The following is an 18,256-nucleotide window of genomic DNA, read 5'->3' on the forward strand; positions in this document are numbered from 1 at the left end:
TCTTGTCACAGGACAAATCCCAGGATACAGTCTTTCTGTCATAGTGAAAACAGAGCTTTTTTCTTGATTATAGCCCAGGTTTTAGTAGTATCAAAACCATAGTTTCTAGTTTTGAAATCTGAGTTACCCCATGAATGGGCAGGGGGCTGAGGTCACAGAGCCAAGAGGGCAGCTCTGGAACCATGGATCTGGGGCTGGGAAGCGTCAGTCCTGTGACTTTTGTTTCCAAGCTTGCTTTCTCATGCCTCTGCGGGCAGAATGCTCTCCGTTTAGGACCTGAGCACCGCTCCCCACATGGACGCCTTGCTTTTCCCTGCCAGAGAACCTGCACAGCTCCTCCCTGGTCTGCTTTGGATCTCTGTGGAGATGCATCTCATCAGTGAGGCCTCCCTGACCACTTAATCTAAAGAGTTTCCCCTACAACCATCTCTGTCTCCACATTTCCTATTCCCCTTCCCTGTTTTTTTTTTTTCCCTCCAGGCCACTTATGACTGTTTATTATGCCACATATAATTTACTTGTTTAATGTTGTATGGTCTATCTCTCCCACCAGAATGTAATGTTCCTTGAGGGCAGGGCTTGTGTTTTTTTCACTGTAGGATCTTTAGCACCTAGAATGGTGTCTGCATATTGTAGGCGTTCAGGAAATGTTTTTGAATAAACAAATGATGAATGAATTTAACGTAAAGTTCTTCCAACAGAAATTTTATATGACTTTCTAGTGCTCTAAGTAAGAGTTGAACATTTTTCTCTTATCTTTATTTGTAGAATGACAAAGGACAGATCCCTGCTGATGTTGTTCCAGACCCAGTAGATATGCCGTTAGAGATGGCTGACGCCGCAGCCACTGCTAAGGAAATCAAGCAGATGCTTCTAGATGCGGTGCCTCTGTCATGTAACATCTCAAAGGCCATGCTCCCAAATTATGATCATGTCACTGGCAAGGCAATGCTTACGTCACTTGGCCTGAAGTTGGGGGATCGTGTTGTTATTGCAGGACAGAAGGTACAGTAAGTAACTGCAATCTCTGAAGCCAGGGTTGTTATGTCCATGACCTATGTTCAAGGACACAGTATGGTCAGAGTTTTGAGTTTTTGAAAAAGGTTCAACATGTAGGTAGAAAGATGCTTAATGGAAAATGTAAAACTTAGATATGAATTTACTGTTAAGTTATGCTTTAAGAATATAAACTACTTGAACTTAATAAAGAAGACATCTTTATTTGAATAAAGAGTGGAGTGGAGTAGAACTCTTGAGTGAATTTAGAAGCATGAGCTAAGGGATGATCTAAGGTGGAGGATTATCTTTGCAGTCCCCTCTTTCCCCAGTGGTACTTCTCTGACTGCTGCTCCTCCATAGAAATGGAGCACAGGAGACCCTTGCTGTTCATGGGTGTTTGTCTTTGGGTTCCCACAAATAGGGCAGTCTGAGATATTATGTAACCTGGTGATAAGGATTTGTGTGGAAAAGAGGACTCCTACTCCCATCATCCAGACACCTTTTTTCCTCCCAAGCTTTTGTTTCCATATTGTATTCATTTATTGCCAGTTGCTTTTTAAAAATATCTCATATGGGAGGTTTTCTTGTTTTTTCTTTTTTTAATTATTTTATTATACTTTAAGTTCTGGAATACATGCACAGAACATGCAGGTTTGTTACGTAGGCATACGTGTGCCATGGTGATTTGCTGCACCCATCAACCCGTCATCTACATTAGGTATTTCTCCTAATGCTATCCCTCCCCTAGCCCTGTCCCTTCAGTTTTTTCTTAATATTGAGGTTAATAGGGAGCTTGGTATGGAGAATGGAACAGGGAATTCCTGCTTGGATATTGAGTTTCCCAACATAGTTATATCCCTTTTTTTTTTTTTTTTTTTTTTTGAGAAGAGTCTCACTTTGATGCCTAGGCTGGAGTGCAGTGGCACAGTCATAGGTCACTGTAGCCCCGAACTCCTGGGCTCAAGCAACCCTCCTGCCTCAGCCCCTGTAGTAGCTGGAACTACAGGTGTGTGCTACTATCCAGCTAATTAGGATTCTTATGTCTTCTTGGAAATTGACTCCCTTATTATTATTTAATGTTCTTTTTCATCCTTGGTAATGTTCCTGGCTCTGAAGTGAGAGCAAGGAACATTACCAAGCATAAAAAGGTAATGTTGAGAGAGCGAATTTTTAAAATTCACTTTGAGAGAGTGAATTTTTAAAAACTCCCATGGTGAAGTAAAGTTGCAAGAGTAGGACCCTTGGAATTACTAATAATTCCCCAAAATTATTCTGGTTTATATTTTCTTTAGGTTGGTACATTAAGATTTTGTGGAACAACTGAATTTGCAAGTGGGCAGTGGGCTGGCATTGAACTGGATGAACCAGAAGGAAAAAATAATGGAAGTGTTGGAAAAGTCCAGTACTTTAAATGTGCCCCCAAGTATGGTAAGGTTGATATTATTTAACTCGGTAAGAATTAATTAAAAATAATCAAGTTTTACTCTTTTACAGTTGTTAAATAAAACTTTTCTCCTGATTTCTTATGTGATAAATGAGGGGCATGTGGATGTAGGGAGGACTTTTTAAAGATAGGAGATAGTTATATTTATTTACACTGACGAGAGGCGACGTGAGAGGGAGAAATGGTGGTTGCAGGAGAGAAAGGGGACATTTCCAGGAGGAAAGTCCTGAAAAACTTGAAAGGGAAAAGGATTTCAGTATAAGAGTTAGCCTTGCATTAGATCAGGCGCAGCTTTCCACTATTTATTTATTTGTTTGAGACGGAGTCTTGCTCTGTCGCCCAGGCTATAGTGCAGTGGCTCGATCTCGGCTCACTGCAACCTCTGCCTCCCAGGTTCAAGCGATTCTCCTGCCTCAGCCTCCCGAGTAGCTGGGATTACAGGCATTTGCCACCATGGCTGGATAATTGTTGTATTTTCAGTAGAGACAGGGTTTCGCCATGTTGGCCAGACTGGTCTCGACCTCCTGACCTCAGGTTATCTGCCCACCTTGGCCTCCCAAAGTGCAGGGATTACAGGCATGAGCCACTGTGCCTGGCCAACCATGAATTTCAGAGGCCATGATGGAAAGGTTTAGGAGGGTGTCTGGTAGTGACTGGTGAAGAGGGCATCTGATGGAATTGTCTCAATGATGTTTTTGGGAAAGTGTCTTTCTTGGGACTGGTCTCTTGGGTGGCTTTTAGTGGGGAGACAGTGATGAGAGGGGTTTTTTCGTTAGTAGGCTGTGAGCTGTTGGGCTGCCCTTGATTCTTGCTGCCAGCAGTATAGTGATTGGGAGAAGGCCTCTGACCAGGGGCACGCCCAGCTCTGCAGACCTCCCTCAAATCCTGCACCTAGTAGTGTTGTGGCCAAGGGAGGGACTTGGTTATCAAGGAAGTACAGAGCTCTGGAGGTCATGAAGAACTTGGAAAACTGGAAAAATCAAGCAAGGCCAACTTTATGACCGCATTCCTGAGGTTTCTTTGAAACTCTGCGAGGTTTCTTTCTCTTTCTGACAAATGTTTAAGTAAATTCTGACAAATGTTTAAGTAAATTCTTTCTGACATGTTTAGGTAAATTTATTCTTCCTCTCTCTCACACACACCTATCCTGTCTATTGATTTCAATTTGATTTTGTAGTCACTTACTATGTTGTGAATACTTTTCCTTGAAATGAAATATTCTTTTAGAACATTGTTTTCCACGATTGTGTAGTATTCATCTTGTGGCCTGATGGTGAGGTGGTGTGGTATGATGATGATGATGAAGCGGATGGACTTTGGAGTCTGACTGCTTTTGTGTGATTCGATTTCTTTACTTACCAGCTATGTGACTGTCTTTCTCTTCTTGTGCCTCAGTTGTCTTCTGTGAAATAGGGATGACACTATCATAAGGACTAGTGCAAGAATTAAATGTGTTGGTAAAAGTATAAAGCACCTAGAACAGTGCATGATTCCCTGTAAGCACTCAACAGATGAGAGCTGTTGGCTATCACGCTTTTATCAAAATTAACTAGTTTCCTTTCATCACACACTTAGGATGGAATCTCATTTTTTTGGTCTATTAAAACTTTTTTTGTTTGTTTATAAAAATGCTGATTGTATAAGATTTGAAAACAAGAGGAAAGTAAAAATTCTGCATTTTTATTTAATATCCTAGTGTAATTTCCCCAAATCTTTACATATTGTTTGAAAATTTGATTTTGAATAGCTCCATTTCCTTTAATTTTTCCAATTTGACAGATGAAAATTTCTATATTTTAATTGGTATTTCTCTTATTGTGGTGAAATAGAACACTTTTTAAAGTGTTTTGTTGTAGTATAGGTATTTTTTATGTTTCTTGGCAATTGCCTGTTTGTATTATTTTCCCAGTAAAAATTGGGATATTAGTGTGTCTTTTTTAAAAAAGGATGAGTTTTAAAATACATACTTATGATATTAAGCTTTATTTATTATGGATATTTTGTCTAGCTTGTCATTTGCCTTTGAACCTCATTTGCAATGTTTTTTGGACATGTAGTTTTATGGCTTAAAGACTTTTATCAATTCTTATATTACTTTTATGCTTTGATAATTCTTCCTAATCTAAGGATTATACATTTTATATTTCTTTAAATGTTTATATTTTTCCTTTTATTTATAGTTGGCACTAAATATTTGTATTTATACAAATAATTGTACCTATTTATGGGGTACAGAATGATATTTCTGTGTAATGTAAGGTGTAATTAAATGAGGGTAATTAGGATATTCATCACTTCAAACATTTATCATTTGAGAACATTCAAAATCCTCTCTTTTAGCTTTTTCAACATACACAATAAATTGTTGTTAACCATCTTCACCTCACAGTGCTGCAGAGCACTAGAACTTATTCCTCCTGTCTAGCTGTAATGTAAATGTTTTAATTTTTATACTTAATTATGTAATCCATTTGGAATTTATTTGGTTAGTAGTTTGAGGTTAAGAATTTAATTTTAATTTTCCTCCGATAGATTACTTTGCCACCTGTCAAGCAGATTAAGGGCAGGATCAAAAGCCTTTAGCAACACATAGGGCAGAGGTAAATCAGAATTATGGAATCATTTAGATTGCCAGCAGAACTCATGGGGACTCCCAAACTCCCATTATCCCAAGGGGAGGCGTGCTTGATTGGCACAAAGCTGGATACCCCCGTCCCCTTGTATGTACTCAAAGGCAAGTTGTGGGGCAGGGGTCATGTGTTGGATTGTGTGAAAATGGGTATAGCCCTTGACAGCCCTGGGAGCCCCAGGTCACGGCTAAGCTACTTAAGGTGGAGGGGAGGGGAGTTGGGGAATCCCCTGGCTAATCAGAAGCCAAGGAATTTCTCAACAATGGTTTTCTCTCTTTCCAAATCTATCATCTTTTCCCTTTGGCTTGTTGTGCTGCTTTTATTATAGATTAAGTTCTTATCAATGCTATGGTATATTTCAGGCTTATTTTGTTCTATTGATCTGTTAATTCTCATACCTATTAGATTTTTTTAACTGTAGAAAATGATAAGTTTTAATACTTGGTGGTATTACTGTTTTTATGTCTTTTAATAATTGCCAAAGTGAATACATATACTTAGTTTACTCAAGTCAGATTGTACGGCAAGGCTTATTACAAAACTGTCTCTTAGCTTGTTTTTCTCTGCCCTCAAATCCTGCTCCTTAGAACTAGGCAAGAACTTTTTCAACTCTTTTAGCTGTATTGTCTGATATTAATATCTGTATTTGTAACTAATATATTTACGTGAATCTCTCTTGATTTTTCCAGTTCAAGACATCTAGTGAGTTTGTACTATGAAGAGAGAGATTTAGTTCTCTACATGAGACAACAAAGTATTACCTTAAATATACTGAGAGAATATGAAACCCAATGTAGCAGTTTGTTGGTTGACTTGTTTTTGGTATAGCCTGTCCTTCAGTAGCTTTCTGACAAAGGACTCATGAGAAGTAAATGTGTTGAGACCTTCTATTCTAAACACATGTTGATTTCTCCCCTCAAACTTTATGTGATAATTTGGGATGAGGAAAGTTAGATTGGATTTCATATTCTCTCAGTATATTTAAGGAGATACTCTATTGTCTCAGGTAGAGTTTGACAGACTTTTTCTGTAAGGGGCCGCATGGTAAATGTTGTAGGCCTTGTGGGCTATGCATTCTCTGTTGTACCTGCTACTCAGCTTTGCTGTTGTAGTAAACGGGCAGCCATAGGCAGTGTGTAAGCAGATGGACGTGGCTACGGTTCAATAAAAATTGACCAATAAACAGGCAGTAGCCAGGATATGGCTGTTGGGCCATAGTTTACCAACTACTATCCTGAGCTTCCAGTGTTGCTGTTCAGATGTTTTGAAGTATTGTTGTACAGGTTATTTAGTATAAAATGAAAAAGGAAAAACAAAAAGTAGGTAGAGGTTTTTCCATCTTCTGTTTTTGACCCTTTCCTCCTTCTTGGAAGCGTTTAGTATTTTTTCTCCTTTTCTTTTTTTTTTTTTTCTTTAGAGTTCATACCATTTTTATTCCTTACCGATATTTTAGTGGGGGTTGGAGAAGAAGAATTGGAGTTAAACCTATATTCAGTGGGCCATGTTTATCTGGAAATTTGTTATTTTTGTCTTTCCAAATAATTCATCATGTGTTTGTTTTTAGTTAAGCCTTACAGTTACATGTCGAGATTTGAGAAAAGTCCTATCAATACTTCAGTTAGCCTGAGTAACTGAGTAATAGAGGCCGCCCATATGCTATGCATCCAGTCATTGCTTTACATTTAGTTTTGGTTCTCTGAAATGCTTTGGCTAATAAAAAAAAAAAAAAAGAAGAATGCAAACTATATAGATGAAGTTTTATATACTACGGAAATCTTTTTAAGCCATAGAATTAAATATTTAATTTAATACACAAATATACTTTAGCTTACAGAGATTTCCTGGTGAGATTTTTTTGTTAGAAAATATATTTATTATTGATAGTGAAGTAAAGGTGTCAGTAGTCATGATAGAGGTTATATCAGCCAAAGTTGCCTTCATATTGATAAAAATACCTTATTCACTTATAATCATAAACATTATTCCAGTAAAAGAGGTACATTTTCTCTCCTTTTCGTCTTTTTGCCTGTGTGATCACCATAATAAGTTAAAATGAAATAGCTCTTACATAATAAAGGGAGAAGAGAAAGAGAGAGAAAGCCAACATGCTACATCCTAGGCAATTCCACCCAGCACTGCTGCCTCCAGTGGTGTCTCCTCTTCCCACTCCAATTAATTTAGCCTTCTACCCCATCCCACTTTGTTAGGGGGAAGGTTCACCAAATGATGGGGTTACTCAGAAGAGAAACATTTTATGGTCAGTGGAAGTTGAAGAGAAAGTACAAAAAGGTGGAGAGGGCTACCCTTCTCTTTTAATCATCGTAAGAGGGTTTACTAATACTGAAAAGTGTCCTTCAGTGACTGTTTCCTGATCTAGGTTTTGGCCCTTCAACTTGCTGCTGTTCAGAAAACCACACGTTTTCCCTGACATGAAGAAAAACATAATTTATTGAACATTATTATGACATTAATGACACAAATCAAACAAATCAGAAAAAGACTCCATAGCTTGACTTCTCTTATAAATGTTTATTTTAGGTTTCTTCCAATCCTGCCTGCTGCCTGTATTCACACATACAATTTTTCACATAATGTAATCAAATACATAACTTAATTTTTTTGATTTGCTCTTTTTTTTTTTTTTTTTTTTTTTTTGAGACAGTCTCTCACTCTGTTGCCCAGGCTGGAGTGCAGTGGCCTCCCAGGTTCAAGCGATTCTCCTGCCTCAGCCTCCTGATAGGGATTACAGGCACGCACCACCGTGCCTGGCTAAATTTTGTATTTTTAGTAGAGATGGGGTTTCACCATGTTGGCCAGGCTGGTCTTGAACTCCTGATCTCAGGTGATCCGCTTGCCTCGGCCTCCTAAATGGCTGGGATTACAGATGTGAGCCACAGCGCCTGGCCTGATTTACTTTTCATATTTTTCTATATTTCTACATAATCTTTATTGTCTTATAATGTTATAATGATATAGTGGTTTATGGATATAGTGAATTCATTCATCATATTGGCAGGCAATTATGTTTTCTCCTACTTATGAATAATATTACAGTGATGACATATTCAGATATACAACCTTTTCCTCCTATTTAGAGTATTTTCTCATGATTCATTTCCAGAAGTGTGATTGGGTCATTGTAGTAAAGTAGAAATTGTGTCACCTCTTGAAATGTATTTTTTTCTTTTAGTATACAGATGAAACCTTGTAACGTTTGTCATACCATTAAATATAATTATTTCTTTAAAATTAATTCTATAAAGTGGATTAGGTCAAGATTTTTGTTTTCTAAAAAGATCATACAAATATACATTCCCAGAGTATAAAATAATTTCTTTCGTCAAACCCTTGCCGACACTGGTTGTAATCATCATCATCGTCGTCATTATCACCAGGCTTGAGAGAGAGAGAGAGTGTGTGTGTGTGTTAGGGAAGGAAAATAATTTAGAGAAAGAATAGAAAGTCATGGAAAATCTCATAGGTAGGAGACAGAAGAGAGAACATTGTAAATAAGTTTAAAAAAGATAAGAAAATCAGGATAAAGTAGTATGGACTCTGAGGTGGGAGAGAATTTTAAGATTAGCAGGAAAGTAGTGTAGTTGGTACTTTTTAGTTATTAACAAAGCACTCACTTCTTACAGAGTCTCGAGCATTTCTACCCTGCTTTAAAACAAGTTGTTTTTGATATATTCCATTTTAGTCATAATGTATATTTGCTAGATTGTAAACACTCAATGAAAGAGTGTAATATACATATTATGGCTTTATTTTCACTTTTTAAATATCTTAGCCAGATTATTTCGGTATTTATAGTCTGTATTCACTATCTCTAATGTCGGTGCATACTTTGTATGCTGGTTATTTTATTGTATGGATAAACTCCTTTTTGGTGGAATTTTGTACTCCCAGCTGCTGCAGATAGGCAACCCCCCTGCCCCTGCCGCTCCCCTCCCCAAAGTACACTGTATTGTTTCTGATTGTCAGGACCTGAGGGCCAGGCCTTTTAGGAAGATTATATTTTATAGTCAGAAAGATTTATTTTATCCCTGCTATGTGTAACACACTGTAATTAGGTACAGTGGGGGAATGCAGAGTTAAGTAACATTTAAATTTTGTCTTTAAAAGGTGTTAGTCTGGAAGAGAGATAAGAAAGACATGGACATAAAAAGCTATAATGTGGGATAAATATAACTTCCAAAGGAGTTGTAAGTTGGCATGGAAGAATAGATTTTTATGCTCTATGGCTCACTGTTATTTGCCAATTGCTTAGAAATGATAGAAAACCAAATTGAAATACATAGGTTCAAATTTCAGATTTATGGCAAACAGTCTTCAAATACAATACAGACATTTCTTAAAAGTTACCGTAAAGGTTAAAAAAAATGATAGAAAACTATCAATATTACCTTTACTCATTTCTCTTTCTCCTGAATTTCACTTAACACCTGAAATGTGGTTCTTACATTATTGACGTGTTGTTAGTCTTGAAAACTAGATTGTAAGCTCTTTGAGGGTAAGTACTGTGTCTTACATTTTTTTTCCTCTCATCATAGGACATGCAGTGGGCACTAAAGGTTTATATTAAAGATTTATGTTACTAATTAGTTGTACTTGTTCCTTTATTTGAAATGTTTTAATTGTTTAACACTAAAATTCTGCATTCTCCCTTAGGTATTTTTGCACCTCTTTCAAAGATAAGTAAAGCAAAAGGTCGAAGGAAGAATATAACACACACTCCTTCTACAAAAGCTGCTGTACCTCTCATCAGGTCCCAGAAAATTGACGTAGCTCATGTGACGTCAAAAGTAAATACTGGTAGGTCAAACCAGAAAGTTAACCATCTGCTTCAGTGTTTTAATTTTATTTGTAGAATTCCTAATATTTAGATTGCTTCACTTTTTTTTGTTAGCCAACTCTGAAACCTGAATTTAATAAAACCTGCATCTTATGTGTTTTTAAACCTCAATTTTAATGACTTCAGTTCCTAACAAATGTATTTCAGATTTGTTCCTTCCTTTTTTCTCTTTACTGTCTCCATACCTTTATCACACATAATCTATCCTCAAGGCTAGATTTCATACTTTCATCAAATTTTTATGGAACAAAACTAGCTTTAGGCTCCTTGCCTATTGAAGGATGTTTAGTGACTTCTTTTTTACCAAAAAAAAGTCCTGACTCGGGAAACTAGCAGTTGCGGCTCTCTTTCTTTATTGATAGAGTCTCACACGGCTTCCATAGGTGAACTATGGAAGTTCTATGGAAGAACTATGGAAGAGTTCTATGGAAGAGAACGGTTTATCGTATCTCTTCCCCATCTTTTACGTACATTTTCTTACTCCTCCCTTCATACTTTGTCTCATGCTATTTATCTGTGTGCAGTAATTTGACTTCTGCCTTTTGAGGTCCTCACCATTTTTTTCGACTTCTTATTCATATCCTGTCTCTAGTTCACTTTAATCTCCTCATTCCCTAACTTTGTATGTGCTTTTTTTATCCATACCACCCAATTGTTATTTGTTATCTTGGGTTTTGTCCTCGGATTGCTTTATTTGTGCAAGTGTCCTATTCTCTCGGCAAAATTTTAAACTTTAACTGAACCATGAGAGTAAATTGTAGTGTTGTTTTCACTGTAGCAATGCACAAAACAGGTGCTCAATAAACACTTGGTAATTTGTAAATAGTTGAGGTAGAAAGCTCTCTACCAGGATGAAAGGAATTTGTCCAAGAATTAGGCTGGCCTTTATATTCTGTTCCACTGGGCTATTTGAATATCCCTGTGTCAATACTGCACTCCATAATAAGTAGTTTTTAAAAATAAATCTTGATGTCCAGTAGTGGAAAACCTCCTATCTCATTCTTGATCATTGTCTTGCTGATTTGGGGCTTTTATAAATCACCCTTCCGTATACATTTTACAATAAACTGTTAAGTTTCCTTTTAAAAATTCTGTTGAGGTTTTATCTGATGTTTTAGTTGAAGCTTAAATCAATGGGAAAGAACTGACATCTTTACAATAGTCAGTTTTTAAATTATGAGTTTAGAATATCTTTCTGTTTAATTAGGCCCTTTGAAAATATCCCAACAAAATTGTGTAATTTTTTTCTACAGGTATTTTATATCTGCCTTGTTAGGTCTATTGGTAGGTACTCCATACTTTTTGGTGGCATTATAAGTAGCATCCTTTTAACCTGAAGCCCAGAAGTATACGGTAAATATAGACAGAAAGCTCCAAGAGAAGCCCCCTCTATTTCTGGTCTGAGGAGCAGAAAAGGGGTCTCCTATTAGATAGAATGTGGATGAAATCACCTGTTATCTTTATTGCTTGCCTTTTCTTTCCCTTGTTTCCCATCCAGTCCCCAGGCAGTCCTACGTGGTATGGATGGGCAGCTGTGAATGGGCAGGCACCCGAAACCCCAAGGAAGGGAAATCCATGTCTCTGACCAGAGAAACTTTGGTCCAAGGACATAGATGGAATCCACATTGGTTTTTCTTCTGTTTTCTCACTGCTTGGCCCCAGAGGCACAATCAGTCTCAGGATTGTATGACAGAGCAAGGAAACGAAAGCTTAGACATTCTACTCAGAATACCGGGAAGGGATGCCCAGGAGCAGGAAGTGTCAGGGAAATCATAGAGAGGAGGGGACTCAAGAAAGAGGCCTCACAATTTTGGCTGTGAACTCCTAGGTCTTCTTGCAAGTGGTGTATGCATGGATCTGACCAAAGCCTTTGGTCTCCTTGGTAGACCACTGCTTGGGTCCCAGCCTGACTACTGGGCTGCACAGCACATGAGACAAATTCAAACAGCATTGCAGAGGCTGCGGAAGCGGAACCCACATCAGAACCACAGTGCACAGAGGGTGGTCAGGAACTTCTGCCCAGAGGCTACATGGGTTGACTGCCTGCTAAAATGAAACAGTCAACATCCTCCATAGGATTTAAACAAGACCTATTCCAGTGTCCATACATAATATTCAAAAGACACAAGATACAATTTAAAATTACCCAAAATATGAAAAAGTCAACACCTCTTACAAGGAAAAAGACAGTCCAAGCATAGCAGCTTTGAGATGACATGGACATTGCAATGAACACATAAAGATTTTAAGTAATGTAACCACACTCCAAGAATTAAGGGTGTAGCTGGGCATTGTGGTGCACACCTGTAGTCCCAGCTACTCTAGAGGCTGAGGCAGGAGGATCACTTGAGTCCAGGAGTTTAGGCTGCAATGGGCTATGATTGTGCCACTGCACTACAGCCTGGCTAACAGAACAAGACCCTGTTTCTGAACAAAAAAAAGAATCAAACGTGAACACTCTTGAAACAAATGAAAAGAAAGTTTCAGCCAAGAAATAGAAGATATGAAAAACAACCAAATGATACACCCAAGTGTATACACACACACACACACACACAAGAGTACAAGCAGAACTGTGGAAATCTCAGACTGGTGAATTGTATCACTGCCAACATCCTGGTTGACATATTATACTTATTATACCACAGTTTTGCAAAACATTACCTTTGGAGGAAACCTAGTCAAAATGTACAGGGAATCTCCTTGTATTATTTTTTATAAAAACTTTAAAGAAAATATTTTATAACTGAAAAATGTAATGAAAAATAAAAATTTACTCTTCAGGTTGCCTTCACAAAATGTCTCCTCTCCACCCTCTTCATTCAGTTTCTGCTGTTGGAGTTCAGGCTCTCATGCTTGGACTATGCTAATAATGTCTGACTGGTCCCTGCTTCCAGCCTCTCCCGCTGTGGTTTCGTTGCAGCCCTGCTGTCAGGAGAGTGTTATTTAACTAGACTCTGTTCATGCCAGTATTCCTTTTCAAAGCCCAGCAGAGGCTCCTTCTTTACAGAAGAGTTCTCAGTCCTTAGCTGGGCACTGGCATCCCTGTCTGAAGTGTTACTGTGACCTGTCTGTCTAGTCTTGCTTTTCCTACATTTCATAAGTACTCTGTTCCAGCCAAGCTACTCACTATTTTCTGTGTCTTAAGATTTTCTTTTTGTCCATCAAGAATGCCTGCCCTCAGTTCTTCCTGACCATACGGCTAGTATTCTCAGGAAGAAATCTGACCTGTCCCTTAGGACCCATCTCAGAATGTGATCATCTTGATGAGACATTAATTGATCTTTGTAGCCACTGTTACTGTCTCCTTCTCGTATGCTAGTGCTTATACCAAAACATGTCCTCATATGTCTGTGCAGTTGTTATCCAATATGTTTTCAGAAGTGAGTGAGATTTCGATAATGAGGGATGCATGTACTTTAAAAAATACATTTTATGTTTAATGTTAAAATTCTTGCTTAAAGTGTTTTATTTTTGTGTCCAAGGATTAATGACATCAAAAAAAGATAGTGCTTCTGAGTCAACACTTTCATTGCCTCCTGGTGAAGAACTTAAAACTGTGACAGAGAAAGATGGTAATATACCTTGTAACCTCTGTTTCTCAAAATTTAACTTTTGATGGAACTTTAAAATATGGTAGGAAAACAGTTTATATGGAGGTTAAGTTTTAAAGTTGGCAAGGGAAAAATTATAGTAAAAATTAAACTTGGAAATCACTGAAGCAGCTCATAGCAAGCTATATACATTATATTTTTTGTGTGTAAAGTACTGCATTATGATTCTTTTACTTAAATTAGATAACTACTGGACTAGATTTAAGAAAATAAACGGAAATTCCATAATATAGAGCACTCTACACAAATGTTTCATTTGCCTTTAGCTATCAAATCATTAGATGAATTGAGCATGAGTATTCCTTCTTGCCTTCTGGTTTAACTCAAAATGTCTTAATATTAAACTTTTGTTGCCTTAAAACATATTAATATCATGTTTAATTTTTGTATAAAAGGGGACTCTACTATGTCATCTAAGGTGAGAGGTGACTGATGGTCATTAGATTAGGTAGTCAGTTCACATCAATTGATGTGGTGATACCTCTTACATAAGATTGTGATCTTACCGTGGGAATCCTTAAAATATTATTGCTTGTGTTATAAAATCTTTTATATATAAACTACAATTGCTATTTGGATGAAATTAGGCATTTAATTTGACACTAGATAATCCATAATTGAGGAAGTTAAATGAAGAATTTCAGAAAGATTTGCCTTGACAAGCTGCTTCTTGGTCCACATCTTATTTTCCACCGTTTGACACGTTCTTTATCTGTTACAGTTGCCCTGCTTGGATCTGTCAGCAGCTGCTCCTCTACATCTTCTTTGGAACACAGACAGAGCTACCCCAAGAAACAGAATGCAATCAGCAGTAACAAGAAGACAATGAGCAAAAGCCCTTCCCTTTCATCCAGAGCCAGTGCTGGTATCTATGGCTTTTTCAACCAGGCTTTCTTGGTGTTTTTTATCTTGGTTTGTTTGTAAGTAGATTTGCTCTTTTTAAATGTGTAGAAGGAACCCTTTACTTCAATCAGATTGAACTACTTTTACTCTTCCCCACCTCCCCCGAACCTTAAGCCTTAAGGTCTCTTTGTTTTGCCGTCTCAGATATAAGACTTTGCATTTATTTTCATGTAATTCATTCTTAGTGGTTTTACCTCATCTGAATTTAGCTTCTTCACAGGCCTTTGTGTCATCTTCATATTTAAAAAGCATGCTTTCTGTGTTTTTATTCAAGTGATTGTTTTAAAACTATGTTTGCTTAAAACCTAGGAGAAGGTCAGAGGGTCCTCTCCCAGGATGGCAATACCAGCCAGTTTTGATATGGCTTTTTAACTAGCCGTGAACCTGCATAATCTCACTCAGTCCACATTTCTTCAGTTATTTGTAAAGATACGTAAAACACTTTATCAGACTTCTTTTCGAAATGACATAGATTTTGTCTGTTGCAGTTCACTTATTTGCCTATATAGCGAACTTGTCCAGAAAGGCAAAAGCCATCTTGGCAAAATACGTTCTTCATGAACCTCTTTATTACCAGATTCTTTTTTTAGTGCTTCTATTAATAGTTCTTGTAGTGAACCAACATTTTATTATGGAAAATATTCATGACAGATTTCTAAAAAAATACTTGATGGGAAGAAACCTCCAAAGCTCTCAACAATAACATTGACATAATAAGCCTAAAAACTGGGACCCTAAAAGTAGAGAACCTGAAAGTTTTCCCTGAAATTGTTTGCCTGGAATATTTATTCTCTGAGTGGCTTCCTCTCTCCATACCCCAACCAGTTTTTCTTTATGTTGTGAGGAGCAGAGGTGAGAAGGTACAGTGCTGACACAGCCATCCTGTTTGTCCAAATTTCATTCACATTTTAAGGCCCCCTTCATTTGGTATTTGCACTTTTGACATTTACTTGATTTTAAAATTTATACATGGGTATGGAATTACTTTTTTTTTTTTAACCTTCTAAACAAAGTAGTCTAGCGTGCCTATATATTTACCATTTAAAAAAATAAATTTGAGGGTTATGTCGACTTAAACAACAGTGAAGATGAAGAGAGTTATCAGAGTGAGAAAGAGGACCTTTCAAAGAGGGAGATGGGCCGAGAATGGGAGATATGGGAAAGTCTGTGTTGGGAACCCCAGAGACATGTACTTAAAACATGTTTCTCTAGTGAGTAGATATTCCACTTGTTTTATAGATTTGCATTTGAGGGAGATGTAGACTGCAGAGAACGAACAATAATGGAAAGTTAGGTTAAAAAATTAGAGAAAGAAGAGTGGAAATAAAGGATTCGGGGAATGGGAAAGGTAGGGACCTCGGCCTCATCATATCCCATTGTTATTTACTTTTTATTTTTTATTAAAGACAAGGTCTTGCTGTGTCGCCCAGGCTGGGGTGCAGTGTTGCAATCATAGTGACTGCAGCCTTCAACTCCTGGACCCAGGTGATCTTCCTACCTTGGCCTCCTAAAGTGCTGGGATTTACAGGCATGAGCCATCATGCCCAGCCTGTGTCCCACTGTTGAACTTGCCATCTTTGGTTCATTGTCTACAGGCGACAAGGGGACGGGCCTGAGGATTTCTGATCACAGAGTCTTGGTTTTAATCTAGGTGTACCACTTACTGGCTGTTAACAGTGTGTCTTAGTTAATTCCTGAGTTTGTATCTTATTTTTCAGCATAATTTTTAGGAAAAGCACTTTGTAAACTATGAAGTGCTATAGAATATTGGTTATGATGAGGGCCTCGGACTTACTGGTATAATCCAGACCTTCTCCATGGGTTTATTTTCCTTGTTTAGTTGCTGTGTTTTTGATTTCTTCTTTTTTCACAGTATGACTTACCCTCCATCCCATGCCCTCCTCCAGAGTTCTCTACTCCCTCTCAGATGGCAGCTCTTCAAATCTTTGTTTATGTACTGATGGGACAAGGCTCAAGCACCCACTTCTTCTCTTTCAGCTGTTATATTTGAACAGCTTTCTAGATCATATTTCTCTAGGACTTCTATGTTTAATAGTGGGCATTTCAAGGTTTAGTTTTGAATCAGGTTGACAGGGCAGTGGTTTTGTTCTTAATAACAAAATCACTTTAGGATAATTAGAACCGTATAGCAATTTAACCTTCAAATCACACTACTTTTGGCTGGTCACAGTGGCTCATGCCTGTTATCTTAGCACTTTGGGAAGCTGAGGTGGGAGGATCACTCAAGCCCAGGAGTTTGAGACCAGCTTGGTCAACACAGCAAGACCCTGTTTCTTTAAAAAAAAAAAAAAAAAAAAAAAAGTCAAATCACATGACTTTTTATATAATTTACACTGAGTCTAAGTGAACTATTAATACTATAATTCTAGTATTTTAGTAGAATAGAAATTGTCAAACTATGGCCCATGGGCCAAATCTGACCTACCACTTGTTTTTGTAAATAAAGTTCTTTGGAATGCAGCCATGCACATTTGAAAAAAATATATTGTCTATATCTACTTTCATGCTGCAACAGCAGAGTTCAATAGTTGTGGCAGAGGTGGTATGGCTAGCAAATCCTAACATATTTACTGTCCAGCAATTTGCAGAAACAGTTTGCTGTGACCCCTGTTCTAGTAGAGATGCTGCAGGCAATCTTGGAAGAGTTGGTAGTTTACCAGGGATCAGGTTTTGTGAATTTCCCATGGCAGTAATTTTCCCAGGAAACTCTTCACATTTCCTTTGAGCAGCTTGACCTCACATGTGAGAAACACAACTGTAGATGACTTATGTGATGAAAGGCATCAGATATCAAAATCACCAACTAACTAGACTAGTTAGAATACCTAGTGTGATTTTTTGGCTAATGTGCTTTTTGAGTTTTTCTCCCTTTGTTTTTTCTCCTCTTTTCCTGCCCTGCCCCTGTATCCCTCCCTGACTTAAACAGGTTTGAATTCCTCAGCAACATCTACAGCAAATAATAGCCGTTGCGAGGGGGAACTCCGCCTCGGAGAGAGAGTGTTAGTGGTAGGACAGAGACTGGGCACCATTAGGTTCTTTGGGACAACAAACTTCGCTCCAGGTAACTCATCTGCATATTTTCTTAACTTGAATTCTTTAGAGTACAAAAGGTTTAAAATTTTACATGTAAATAGAATTTAATTGTAGAGAAATCTTGATGAACAGTTTTTGTGGATGGCAGCTATAGTACAGAAAATGTGAAATGATGATGAAAACTCAGACTGTTTACTCACGTGGATGGTTACCCATACATTTTTTTCTTGCCATTTGTGTTTTAAATGGTCGGTGTTAAAAATTAGTTGTCATTCTCCAATTTTACTCTTACTGATTGCTGGGTGTGCTAAGTGACAGGCAAACATTTTAGGATTAGATTTTTGCTACGGATAATCTTTAAAATAAGTAGTAAATAATGAGTTAATTGTATACCTTTTTAAAAGAGTGGCTTGCAGAGAAAAGCACACAAAAGGGCTCAAAATACATGTTTTTGGGGCCCTTAAAAATACATGTTTGTGTATTTATATATTCATTCCAATCTATACGTAACATTGTTTCCAAAAGTAAAGATTACTTTCTATTTTTTTTTTTGAGACGGAGCTTCGCTCTTGTTGCCCAGGCTGGAGTGCAATGGCATGATCTCAGCTCACCGCAACCTCTGCCTCCTGGGTTCAAGCGGTTCTCCTGCCTCAGCCTCCCGAGTAGGTGGGATTACAGGCATGCGCCACCACGCCCCGCTAATTTTGTATTTTTAGTAGAGATGGTATTTCTCCATGTTGGCCAGGCTGGTCTCGAA

The 18,256-nt window shown here is 37.7% G+C and overlaps 1 protein-coding gene across 16 annotated transcripts in view; it reads left to right on the forward strand.

Annotated features, from left to right (window-relative positions):
* The window catches only part of CLIP4 (CAP-Gly domain containing linker protein family member 4), an 86,083-nt gene that overhangs the window by 45,215 nt on the left and 22,612 nt on the right, over positions 1-18,256 (forward strand). For 14 of the 16 annotated variants that reach the window (XM_005264562.3, XM_011533110.2, NM_001287528.2 and 11 more), the window contains 6 exons: positions 769-1,005; positions 2,292-2,427; positions 9,745-9,888; positions 13,414-13,503; positions 14,264-14,407; positions 17,393-17,527. In XM_005264562.3, coding sequence (XP_005264619.1) covers positions 769-1,005; positions 2,292-2,427; positions 9,745-9,888; positions 13,414-13,503; positions 14,264-14,407; positions 17,393-17,527 — 886 coding nt within the window. Of the gene's footprint in view, positions 1-768; positions 1,006-2,291; positions 2,428-9,744; positions 9,889-13,413; positions 13,504-14,263; positions 14,463-17,392; positions 17,528-18,256 lie in introns of those variants that run through there. The other 2 variants (NR_109844.2, XM_047445851.1) reach the window with 2 other exon arrangements.

The sequence above is a fragment of the Homo sapiens genome, chromosome 2, assembly GCF_000001405.40.
Source record: "Homo sapiens chromosome 2, GRCh38.p14 Primary Assembly".
Taxonomy (NCBI): Eukaryota; Metazoa; Chordata; class Mammalia; order Primates; family Hominidae; genus Homo; species Homo sapiens.